This window comes from Homo sapiens, chromosome 1 (genome assembly GCF_000001405.40).
Source record: "Homo sapiens chromosome 1, GRCh38.p14 Primary Assembly".
NCBI lineage: Eukaryota > Metazoa > Chordata > Mammalia > Primates > Hominidae > Homo > Homo sapiens.
In genome coordinates, this window is record NC_000001.11 from 189141457 (window position 1) to 189155657 (window position 14201).

General features: G+C 33.2%; 1 long non-coding RNA gene across 2 annotated transcripts in view; it reads left to right on the forward strand.

The window, feature by feature from the left end:
- The first annotated feature begins 8306 nt into the window (after positions 1–8306).
- Positions 8307–14201, forward strand: part of LOC105371657 (uncharacterized) — a 453818-nt gene continuing 447923 nt past the window's right edge. For both annotated transcript variants that reach the window (XR_002958413.2, XR_001738343.2), the window contains exons 1-2: positions 8307–8420; positions 9086–9303. This is a non-coding gene — a long non-coding RNA (uncharacterized LOC105371657). The remainder of the gene's footprint in view (positions 8421–9085; positions 9304–14201) is intronic.

Below are 14201 nucleotides of genomic sequence, written 5' to 3' on the forward strand. Positions count from 1 at the left end.
TCCTCCTGCATCTGGTTTAACAGCCATCTGGGGCAGCCTCATCCCTGCAGAGAAACTGCCACAATGCCACATGGCCCAATCATGCCTACTCACCCTCACTCTTAGCCTGACAGCTGTCTGGGAGTGACCCTTCTCCTGAAGACAGACCACAAGAAGGTCACCAGGCACTGCTATGCCTGAACACACTCAGCCCAACATCCAGTCTGGTGGCAATCCTGTCCCCCAACAGAGATAGTCACACAGTCTTCAGGTTGGCTATGCCAGTGTGTGTCCAAGCCTGGCCCAGCAACCAGCCTGTGGACAGCAACAGCCTACACAGAGGGCCACAAAATAGACTTTTGGCCCTCTGTGCCTGCAAGCAATATGACAATCAGCCTAGCTTCTGCTCCCAGTGGAATCATGCCACTGCCATCACAAACTCCTAAGCATCTTAGGTCATTGGGGCAATTATAGTCTTCACTGAAGATTACAGCTAATGAAAATGCACAGAGACCTCACTACTGAACCCACCCAGAACGAAAGTCAATGCATTATATGGATAGGAATATCCAGATTAAAAAGCTCAAAGGTATATAATTGGATTCAACCCAAAAGAATCCTCTCTAAGGCACATTATATTCAAACTATCAGGTTAAAGACAAAGAAATAATTCTAAAAACATCAAAACAATCAAGTCACACATGAAGGAATTTCCGTTAGACTCACAGAAGATTTCTTAGCAAAAACCTTACAGTCTAAGAGAGAATTAGGTATTATATTTAAAGTACTAAAAACAGTCACCTAAAATACCGTATCCAGCAAAGCTATACTTCAGAAATGGGAGATAAATGAAGATCTTTCCAGACAAGCAGTAGCTGAGGGAATTCATCACTCACTAGACCAGCCTTAGGAAGAATGCTTGAGAGTGCTACAACTGAAACAAAAGGATGATAATAACTAACATAGAAACATGTGAAAGCATAAAATTCACCAGTAAAGGAAAATTCATAAATTTAACTCAGAATAATATAGTAATAATTCTCAAACTATCAAAAGTTAAAGGCAAAGAAATAATTCTAAAAACAGCAAAAGAAAAACATCACACACAGGAAATTTCTATTAGACTAAGATAATTTTTCTCAGCAGAAACCTTACAGTCCAAGAGGTTTTGTTTTGTTCTGTTTGTTTTGTTTTCGGTCAAAAATTTTCCCTTTTAAATATTTTATCTCAATAGTTTTTGAGGAAAATGTGGTTTTCAGTTACGTGGATAAGTTCTTTATTAGTGATTTCTGAGATTTTGGTGCACGTGTCAGCCAAGCAGGGTATACTATATCCAATATTTAGTTTTTTATCCCTCATCCCCTTCCCACTCTTCCCTTCGGTCCCCTAAATCCATTATATCATTCTTATCCTTTGTATCCTCATAGCTTAACTACCACTTATAATTGAGAACATACAATATTTGGTTTTTAATTCCTGAGATATTTTATTTAGAATAATGTCATTCAACGCCACCCAGGTTGCTGTGAATGCCATTATTTCATTCTGTTTTATGGCTTAGTAGTATTCCATGGTGTATACATAAGACATTTTCTTTATCCACCCATTCTTTGAGGAATATTTAGGTAGGTTCCATATTTTTGTAATCACTAATTGTGCTGCTATAAACATGCATGTGCATGTGTCTTTTTCATATAATGACTTATTTTCTCTTGGACAGATATCCAGTAACGGAATTGCTAGATTGAATGGTGTTTTTACTTTTAGTTCCTTAAGGAATCTCCATACTGTTTTCCATAGTGGTTATACTAGTTTACATTCTCACCTGCAGTGTAAGACAGTTACCTTTTTACCATATCCACACCAACATATACTATTTTTCGATTTTTAAATTATAGCCATTTTTGCAGCAGTAAGGTGGTATCTTATTGTGGTTTTAATTTGCATTTCCCAGATAATTAGTGATCTTGAACATTTTGTCATATGTTTGTTGTCTGTTTGTATATCTTCTTTTGAGAATTGCCTATTTATTTAAACGTCATGCCATCCAACAATTTTAAAGGCACACCCTTCTCAACTGCATATGGAACAGTATCCAGGAGAGATCACAACTTGGTCACATAACAAGTCTAAACAAATTTAAGAAGACAGAGATTATACAAAGTCTCTTTTCAGACTTTCATGGTATAAAACTAGAGATAAACACACACACACACACACACACACACACACACACACACACACATACACACACACACAAACCCCTACAGGTTTACTGTGTTATGTAAAATGTTCAATACTCCAATATGAAAGTTTAAGTCAAAATGCCTAAAAACAACAGGTACAATTAATGACTAAGAATAAGTAATTAAAATAGCAGAAATATAAATTGAGTTTGAGGGAGGAGAAGTATAGAGTATTTTTGTAGGACAAAATTCAGCTTGATCTTAGCATAAAATAATCCACTGTAACTACAGGATTCTTTATGTTATCCCCATTGAAATCACAAAGAAAAAAATACAGCATATATACAAGAAATAGGAAGGAAACAAAACTTAGAACCACAGAAAAATAATAAATTACAGAAATAAACCGTAAAAGAGGAATTAAAAAGAAAACATAGGATTTACCAAACAACCAGAAAATACTTAACAAAATAGCAGGACTAAGTCACTATCTGTCAATAATAACCTTGAATGTCAACAAACAAAATTATCCAATTAAAAGATATAGAGTGAATGAATTAAAAACAAGACCAAACTGTATCATGCCTACAAGAAACTCACTGCATGATTACAGGTAAACATGAACTGAAAGTGAAGAAAGGAAAAAAGATATTCCATGGAAACAGAGCCAAAGGAAACAGGGTTAGCTATCCATATTTGAGATAAAACAGAGTAAATTGAAAAGAATAAAAGAGACAAAGAAGGTCATTATGCAATGACAAAGGGATAAATTCAGCAAGAGGATATAATGATTCCAAATATATATGTACTCAACACTGGAGCAGCTAGCTAAATAAAGCAAATATTATTAGACCTAAACAGAAATACAGACTACAATACAGTAATAGTAGAGGACTTTAGCACTCTACTTTGATCAATGAACAGAACATAGAGACAAAAATTCAACAATCATCAGACTTAAACTGCACCATGGACCAAATAAATATTTACAGAACATGCCATCCAACAATTGATTCTTCTCACCCGCATGTGGAACATTATCCAGAATAGATCACAACTTAGGCCACAAAACAATAAACAAATTTAAGAAGATAGAGGTTCTATAAAGTCTGTTTTCTGATTTCAATTGTATAAAACTAGAGATCAATGCAGAAAAACTTCAGAAACTTTACAAATACATGGAAATTAAAAAAATATGGCCCTAAACCATAAAGAAACCTCAAAGAAGAAATTAAAAGGAAAATGAAAAATTTCCATGAGACAAGCAAGAATGGAAACACAGTATAGTCATAACTATAAACATACTAAAGGCAGTTGAGAGACATAATTTTATGTTAATAAATCTCTAAACCAAAAATAAAGATTTCTAATAAACAACCTAATGAAACATGACAAAAAAGTAGAAAAACAAGAATTAAACCCAAAATTCTTCTTGTGGAAGAAAATAAATAATAAACCTACGGTAGAAATAACCAAAATAGAGACTAAAAAGTTTCAAAAGATCAACAAAATAGAGTTGGTTTTTTGAAAACAAACTAAATTGACAAAACTTGAGCTAGGCTAACAAGTGAAAAAGAAAAGAACAGATTCAAATAAAATTAAAGATGAAAAACAGAGACTTCACAACTCATACCATAGAAATACAAAGGATCATAAGAGACTATTATGAACAGCTATAAGCCAAAAAATTGATAACCTAGAAAAAAATGAATAAATTCATGAAGACAACTTACCAAGTTTAAATTTGAAGCCATATAAAATCTGAGCAGACCAATAACAAGTCAAGAAATTGAATGAGTAATAAAACATCATCCAAAATTTTCAAACATCTACAGTCAACTGATTTTCCACAAAAGTGCTGAAAACAAAGATTGGAGAAACGACAGTGTGTTCAATAAATTATGCTGAAAATATTATATATCCATATATAAGAGAATGAGACTAGAGCACTACCTCCAACCACATAAAAAAATCAACTCACAATAGATTAACTGTTTAAACCAGCAATCAGAAGCTATGACAGTACTGGAAGAAAACAGGTAAAATACTCCATGAAATTGGGATGAGCATGGATTTTAAAAATAAGATATCAAAAGTATAGACAACAAAAAGTAAAACTATACAAATGGAATTACATCAAATTAAAAAGATTTTGTAGAGACAAGGAAACTCTTAATGTAGTGAAAAGATAACCTACAGAATGGGAAAAAAACTTGCAAAGTCTAAATCTGACAGGGAGTTGATATTCAGAATACATAAGAAAATAGAACAACTCAACAGTAAAAATAATACAATTTTTTAAATGATGAAAGGCCCTCTCAAAATAAGAACAGATAGCCAATAGGTATAAGAAAAAATTCTCAACATCTCTCATCAACAGGGAAATGCAAATCAAAGACACCATGAGATAACGCCTCACTTCAGATAGAATGGCTATTATTAAAATAAATAAATAAAATGACTGCTGGTGATGATGTAGAGAAAATGGTAGACTTGAACACTGTTGGGATTATAAATTAATGTAGCCATTATGGAAAATAATATGGAGGTTCCTAAAAAAGTTCTATTTTTAAGAACTACCATATGATCCAATAATCCCACTCCTGTGTATATATGCAAAGGAAATGAAATCAGTGTGTCAATGAGATATTTGCACTGCCATATTTATTGTAGCACTATTTACTATAGTCAAGATATTGCATCAACCTTTGTGTCCAACAGTGAATGAATATACAATATAAAGAAAATGTGGTATCTACACAATTAAATAATATTGAGACATAAAAAAGAATGAAATCTTAACATTTGTGAAAACATGAAGAAAATGGATGACATTAGTTAAGTGAAACAAGCCAGATGCAGAAAGACAAGTACCACATAATCTCATTCATATAAAGAAAAAAAAAAGTTGATATCGATAACAGTAGATATTAGAACAGTGAGTACCAGAAACTAGGGAAGGAAGGGGAGAAAGGAGGATGGGAAGGAAGGGGAGAAGGGAGGATAGGAAGAGTCTGGTCAGAGGCTAGAAAGTTACAATTACACAGGGGAAATAAATTCTGGTGTTCTATTTCACTGTGCTACAACTATAGTTAACAGTTGAATAGTGTGTAGTACAAAATAGCTAAAAGGGAGACTTTTAGATATTCTCACCACAAAAAATAATAAATAATTGAGGTGATGGATACACAAACAACCCTGAATGGAGCATTATGCAATATAGATATGTAAAATAAAATCACACTGTACCCAGTAAATATATATAATTACAATTAGTCAATTAAAATCTGGAAAACTTTTTTGAAAAGAATTCTACAGCATTTTAAATGAGTAATGACATATTTTTCAATGTGCTTGACAATAAGGATTTCAGAGCAATTTCTGATTTTTAAACTGAACTTTTACATCTGTAGAAGTTGAATAAATGTTTAAAAATTGGCTCTAAATAAACGTGTCAGATAACATAATATTGTCTGATGCTTTAAGGCAAATTTGATTAGCAGTTACTTCATTCTGATCTTGATAAATCACATTGAAAGCAGATGTACTTTTCAATAAACCTAAATTGAAATTTTTCAATCCTTTTTTTCTTCTAAACTGTATATATCTTCAAAGGCATTCAATTTTATATAAATAAAAGTATTTAATTGCATAAGCTAAAGAGTTTTTGGTTTAACTAAGCATTCTAAACTACAAAGAGACCAAATTTGAATATGAATTGCTATACCTTTGAAGAATAGCTATGTCATTAATCTGTAATCAGTCACTGACATATTCATTTGTTCAAGGGACCAGCTGTTGGTAGGGCAATTTTCATAAAATTAGAAATCAATGTTATAGCCATATGCAGTGTTTGATTCCACACAGAAGGGAATTAGTAATAAAACTAGAGTTTGGTACTTCATAAAAAGATGACATTCATGTAATCTTAACCCTTTACACAAATAAACTTGAAGTTAAGAATGTTTTTAGAAATGGTTATTTTCACTTTCTAACATATGTTCTGAAAGTGTTTAGTTTATTTTTGTAGAAAAGTAATATCAGAAAAATATAAATGCAAATATAAAAATGAGCTAATATATGTGTCCCTAGTAGGAGTACCTGTGACTAGAAAAAAAATAAAATTCATAATAAAAGTAAAACTCCCCATTATGGGTTATTTTGTGATGAGAAGATACTATAATTATCGTAATACAAATCGAGTTTTCATCCAAAATACTAACTATAATGATTTGGGTATATATACAATGTCAACTGATTTATATAATTTATGCAAACCAAAGATAATGTATCTAAATAAAAAATAATTTAGGAATAGAAATTATTTTGATCAATTGAGTCAACATCAGGTGATAAATTATGTGTATTGTTATAGAAAATAAACAGACATTTTTACTGGCTAGTTTTACTGCCTTTCCTGAGGAAATCATAATCAGATGCTTGTAAAAGTGCCAATCAGTTATCCAAATATATTTTGTAATAAGAAGTATGAATACACAGTGTCATCATATAATAATATATATATCATCATATATATCATATATAAATATATATAATTTAAAAGCTAGTGCTCTTGTCTGCACCATCGTCTTCTCCCCTTGAGGTTCAGTTCCCTCATTTGTAAACTGGGTATGATTGTAATACCTACCTCACAGGTTTATTGCAAGAGCTACAGAAATTATTGCACGGTAGAGTGCAATTGGATTTTATCATTCTATTCCTTTGCAAAATGTCATCAAACTAAAAAAAATCTATGGTATCTAGAATAATTTTCTTCACAGAATTGTTAATGAAGGAATATACATTGTTTAGGTTACATGTTGTTTGAAGTAATTTTATTTCAATACAAAGTATGAAAGAGTATATACCTCTGACTTTGTTTTTGTTTTGGTGGGTGTCAGGAACTCAGCTCAGCTGGAAAAGAGTTGAGCCACTGGAGAATTGGCTGCTGTCAGAGTAACCAATTAAAGCAACAAGCCTAAAAATAGAAGAGAATCAGAGAATCCTTTAATCCATATATATATGTATATATCTTGATATATACATATTAATACATCTTAATCCATATACATATACATCTATATATATATCCTTTAATCAATGGGATTTACTGCATTTATAAATGTACACAAAAACGTGTTTTAAAGTGGCAGTGAGTCCATCTTGTTGTGTCCATAGCCTATGTCCCAGTCACAATGCAGCTTTATTAATGAGACAATGGATCAAGCCCTGGGATAGATGGGGCAGGAAAATATTAACACTCATATTGTATATAATCCCATTCCCCTGTTTTTACAGATCCTTCTGAAGTGGGAAATTTAAGAAAAATGTTACAGGAAGAAAAATTTTCATATCTGGTGCCTAGTTATAAATAAGTTTTTCCAAAATCTTCTAACAAAAACTTTTTTGTTTCAATCCTGTAATTTGGTAATTTTAACTTCCTTAATAATACTATGATAGTAAATTAAACAAGCAAACAAACAAAAATATAGGTGTAAATTATTATTCATTTATTCCATGCAGGTAAAGGGTTTGTTTCTTCCCCTAGAATTTGAACACACTTGTGACTGCCTGGATTGATAAAAATATGGTTTTTCTGAATTTCAACAAACTGTGTTCTATACTCCACTTAAATATAAAACCTATGAGATAAGGGATATTTTCTGTCTTGCCTCACAGTTATGTATCTGGTAATCAGCCCAGCAATTGGCAAATTTTAGATACTGAATATAAATTTATTGAATAAATAAAAAAGCAAGTGGGTGAGGATCATAGATGTGGCTCTCAATAAGAAAGCATTTCCCTTTTAAAAAACTGGAACATATTTATATTTCCAATATAGGTGATTCTTGCAAAAACATTCAAATTAATATATTAACTTTAAGCCAGAATGGGTTAAAGAATTAATATATTAACTTTAAGCCAGAATGGGAAGGGAAGAGTGTGGTCCCTTTAAATGATATGGAAGCCGGAACGGAAGTGCAGAACAGGGGAGGTCTTGTTCCCCGGCTAGGGCTCCGCCTTCGGGGACCTAGGTGAGGACAGGCATTTCCTGCCCAAATGTTGCATTTCCCAAGACCACCCTGGCCCACCACGCCCCCATCCTGGGCCTATAAAAACCCAAGACCCTGGCGGGAAGACACAGAAGTGGTTGGGCGTCGTGAGGAACGCATCGGCGGCAGAACACTCAAGCGGCTGGTTGTTGAGAGCACGCCAGCTGAAGAGCACCCCTGCACACTGGCAGGCCATCCACAGGTGGGACGAGGCAGAATTTACTGGGGCTATTGGAGGAGAGCTGGGGCCATCTAGCGGCCCAGCTTCTGGGGACAACCATCTCCCTTCTGGCTCCCCCATTAGCGGAGAGCCTTGCACTCATTCTCCAAGCCCACATGTGACCTGATTCTTCAGGTACACTAAGGCAAGAAACCCCAGGATACAGAAATCCGTCTGTCCTTGTAATAAGGAAGGGGGTTTAATTGAGCTGGTTAATACAGGCCGCCTATAGATGGCAAACTAAGAGAGCACCCTGTAACATACACCCACTGGGGCTTCAGGAGCTGTAAACATTCACCCCTAGACACTGCCGTGGGGTTGGAGCCCCACAGCCTGCCTGCCTGTATGCTCCCCTAGAGGTTTGAGGAGCAGGGCACTGAAGGAGTGAGTCACACCTCCATTGGACGTCCTGCTAGGGGGACAAGGAAACCTTTCTCATTTCAGTATGTTGTTTTAACATCCCATTTGTTTCAAAAATGTCATTGAATTTTACAAAGTCTATTGTATCTACAATGAAGATTTTCCTATACATATTAATGAAGTAATATACATTATTTACTTTACATATTGTTATTAATAGAAGCAATAGTATTTCAATACAAACTATGAAAAGGTGTATACCTCTGAATTTATTTTTGTTTTGGTAGGTGTCAGAAACTCAGCTCAGCTGGAAGAAACTTGATGTACCAGGTATCAGAGTAGCAAGTAAAGCCACAAGCCAAAAATGAAAGAGAATCTTTTAAGTGCTTATCGTGATGGTGTAAGTAATTGTCCAAAAGAAACGCCGATTCCTTCTGTTCCATTTTTACCTGTGGATTGTGGATTGAAATAACCATTGGACCATGAGGAGAGACTCTGAAGAGAGGTATGTGACAGAGTGGGGCCTAGGGGTGGAAACTGCTGGGTGCTGAATCAGAGCGGGGAAAATCGTCTTTGTTTTCTCCCTCCTTCACCCATATGGAGGCCTCAGCAGAGACATCTGAAGAGACTCTTGCCAGGCCTCGAAGAGACTCTAGAAATGAAGGTGCTGGGATATTTCATAGGCTAAGATTCACTTGATAGAAAAAACAGGGGATAAAGGAAAATTTAAATGACACCATGAAAAAATCATTAGACAAACTCAGAAAGTCGAATATTCTACAGGACAAGTCTTTTCAACAAGATAATGTCTGGGGGGAAAAAAGACACTGTGTGTTCTTTCTATTTTGAGAGACATAACAGCCAATGCAGTGAGTGATTCTTTAGTGGATCCCATTTTGAATAGCTGTAGAAAACATTTCTGGTACTGAGTATCAGATAATATCAGCAAGTTATGTCAATTTTGTTAGATGTGATACTAATAGTGCAGTTATTTGAGAAAATGTCCTTATTTCCAACATATGAAATGTTTAGAGATAAAGTATTATTAAGTAATTTACTTTAAAATACTTCAGAAAAAAATATAAACTGTGGCAAAAATATTAACAATGGCTAAATCTGGGTTATGGCTACATGATTCTTTTTATATTTTGTTTAATTGAAAATATAAAAACCGAGTGGTGGTTTAAAAAAAAAAAGAGAAAGAGAAATGGAGGTGCTGGAGATAGAAGTTTAAATATGGAAAGGGTGTGATCTGCCAGTTTGCCTGAGTCCTTGACTGCAACTCTCTAATTTAGAGACTGCAATGTGCTGACTGTGCACCAAGTCTGTTCCAGAGAGGGTGACTACCTTCCTTGAGGACTGTCAGGTAAAGCCTCTGCAATTGCCTGTGGCTGGGACTGAAAAATTATGCAGGTTTTTCACCAAGAGCCAGACTCCTCAGTAGTGAGCCAGGCCTGTTAGATTTCGATATATTTTTCTACTTAGGCAAGAATATCAAATTGCTTTTTAGTATAGTACTAACAATGAATAAATCTTTATTTACATGTCAAATACAATACCATTTTTGAATGTTTAGTGGCCTACCTGTTACTTTTAAAATAACTGAGAGAACATCAGGAATTCAATTTTATGGCTGATGCACTTGAACAAAAATAAGTTTGGGACAAGATGTTATATTTCTTAGCATTTTGCTTTACAGTGTATCACAATTTACAAAATTATCAAATTGTAGCACTTTTTAGTCTTTTAACTTTAGAAAGGTGAGATGTGTCAATTAAAAAAAGAGGAATATCTAAACGTTGTCCAAAAGAAACTGATTGAAAATCCATTTTGATTTGGTCTTAAATTTTAAAACCATAACCCTCTCTATACAATGTTAAGTATTTCTGCCATTAGTTTTATTTATTTATTTTGTTAATATTATTTTAGACTCAGGGGTTACATGTGCTTGTTTGTTATATGGGAATTACATGCATAATGGAGGGGGTTGGGCTTCTAGTATCTCCATCACCTAAATATTCAACACTATAGGTACATTTTCAACTCTGGATCCTCCTCCTACCTCCCTCCTTTTGGAGTCCCCAGAGTGTATTGTCTCCATCTTTATATCTATGTGTACTCATTGTTTAGCTCCCACTTATAAGTGAGAACATGAGATATTTGATTTTTTGATTTCTGAATTAGTTCTCTTACAATAACAACCTAAAAAGCTTCATTCATGTTGCTGTAAAGGACATTATTTCATTCTTCTTTATTGCTGGATAATATTCTATTGTGTATATATACCGCATTTTCTTTATCCAGTCCATTACTGGTGGACACTTAGGTTGAATCCATGACTCTGACATTGTGAATAGTATTGCAATAAATATATGATGTGCAAATGTCTTTTTTAATATAAAGATTTCTTTTCCTTTGGGTAGATATCCAGTAGTGGGATTTTGGGGTCAAACAGGAGTTCTATTTTTAGTCATTTGAGATATGTCCATATTGTTTTTTGCAGAGGCTGAAATAATTTATATCTTTACCAACAGTGTCTAAATGTTCCCTTTTCTCTGAATCCTTTCCAACATCTGTTATTTTTTGATGTTTCAATAATAACCAATCTGACTGGTGTGAGATAGTATCTCACTGTGGTTTTAATTTGCATTTATCTGATGACTAGTGATGTTAAGCACTTTTTCATATGTTTGTTGGCCACTTGTATGTCTTCTTTTGAGAAATGTCTGCACATGTCTTTTGCTCAGTTTTTAGTGGGCTTTTTATTGTTGTTGTTATTGAGTTGTTCAAGTAACTTGTAGATACTGGATATTAGTCCCTCGTTAGAGGCATAATTTGCGAATATTTTCTTCCATCCTGTAATTTTGTCTTTTTAGTCTGTTGATAGTTTATTTTGTTGTGTAGAAGACTTTTAGCTTGATTAAATCCCATTTGTCTATTTTTGTTTCTGTTGCATTTAATCTGGGTCGTCATCATAAATTCTTTGCCTAGGCCAGTGTCCAAAAGAGTTTCTTTTTTTTAGGATTTCTGTCGTTTCAGATCTTACATTTAAGTATTTAATTCATCTTAATTTTGTGTATGGTGTGATATAGGGGTCCACTTTTCATTTTTCTGCATATGCCTAGCCAGTTTTCCTAGCATCATTTTTTGAATAGGTTGCCCTTTTCCCATTGTTTGTTTTTGTTGACTTTATCGCAGATCAGTTGGTTATGGGTATGTGGCTTTATTTTTGGGTTCTCTATTCTGTTCTATTTATCTATGTGTCTATTTTGTACTAGTCGTATGCTATTTTAGTTACTATAGCCATGCAGTATGGTTTCAAGTCAGACAATGTGATGTCTCCAGATTTTATCTTTCTGCTTAGTAGTTGCTAGAGTATTGATTTCTTTAAATAATTTATCAATTTCTAACCTCTAACTATAAGGTAGAGTTCCCACTATGGTTATTATATCCGTGGCAAAGACAATATCACAACTCTGGAGACAATTGAGTGTATATTAAAATCATAGCAAATCTATATTTCAGATATAAATGTTTGTGTAATTTACATTAATAACTTAAAGATAACCTTGTTTTCTACTAGGCAAAAATAACATTGAAAAATACAGTCCACAATTTTTGCAATAAACATTTACCTATTTTTGAAAACTCTAAAAAAAGAAATTTTCTTTTTTTCTGCTTTTTTCATATTATCAAATAATAATTTTTTACCTGATCATGTTTGTTTAGTTTGTCCACATTTACTATTCATTCAGCAAATTATTTTTGAGTGTCCACTATGGGTAGGTAGAGTTCTAGGTGTTAGAGAGTTTACAATGAAGAAGATAAGCTAGAAATATGCAGTTCCCTGACCATAACTGGCAGAATGTTTTCCTCTAAACTGTGAGCCTGATATTTCATATCAGTTCAAATTAGATATCTTAACAGCAGGAAGACTGAGAAATTGAGAAAAATGCTCATTCATCAGTTGCTATTAACATTGGCAAGAGTTATCTTTTTTTATTTCTCATGACTTCCAGATATAAGTAGCAATATGACATTACTGAACACTGACAGATACAGTATTGAAGTGATTTTTAATTTGATGAAAGTGGTGGAAAGTGATGATATGACTTACATGGCAAGCATATATTGTCCTCAGTGACCATTTTATATATTGTTTAAGTTCAGCAGGATTAATCATTTTAAAAGGTTATTGTTTTTCTTGTTTTATTATCTATTCCATTCAGCTATTTCTTAATAACCATATTATATGTCACTATCTGTAGCAAATCATTATTAGTTCTAGTATAGCAGAAACAATATTTAATTTAAAATTATTTCCTAGAAAATAGTAAAAATCCACTTTCAATAGTAAGAAAATTCATGTCAAATAAACGAGCTGGATACTTTTAGTACCACCAATGTGTTAAAGTCAGCATTTTCAAATTTGAATTAATTGAAATTGACAAATATACATTTCATATATTTATGATGTACTACATGATGTTCTATAATATGAGCTAATGCAAAGATGCTCATATTGTGCCCACATTCCTTTTTTCAAACTTATATTTGGTTAATGCACATTATCATAAGTTATTTCAAAATATTGAGAAAAAAATCACACCAAGTGTAAAATTTTATGATTGTTCAATAAAAGTTAAAAGGTAAATTGTTAGGTGTGGAGTCAAAAGGAAATAAATAAATTTATCATCCTTAACATTAAAACTCAAGAAACAAATATTTTTGAGTAAATACAATTGCTAAATATTACACATATTATTTTCTATTTGTACTTAATTGAATTCTCATTAAAACCATGTGGGATGGGTTGTATGTCATTCTTAATTTTGAGATGAGTAAACTGCAGCTCGGAGTGGTCAAGACACTTGCCCTCTATTACACACAATAAAAGGGTTGAAGCCTCTTTTATCCAATTTCTGTTGGTACTCAGTACTATTTTATGTGTAAACATCTGCTCAGTACACTAGATACTCAAAATGATGGATATTCCATGCCAATGTAAACAGCTACAGTGTACATATTTCTCCAACTTTTTTTGCAGCTTTTTTCTGCTGTCAAGAGATCTCTTCTGAACTGACAAGTAATAGCAGACATTATAGTTCAGAAGAATATACTCACCATAAAAGAAAATAGTATATCTGAGTTTTTGTTGTTGATACTGGTTTGTCATATGTTTCAATTTTAGTATACATTTTTTCCTCGAGCTTAGAGCATGTATTTCCATTACATAGTTGTAACTGTATGTTATGGTTAAATTGAACAGCATTTATTATGCAGTTCAATTGCATACAATTATTCATTATGGAATAAGATGCTAAAAGATAAGAATGTTCTTCCAGGTGTTAAGAAAATTGATAGCAGTGGTTTGCTTGTTTTCTTTCTGGTATCTGTTTATCA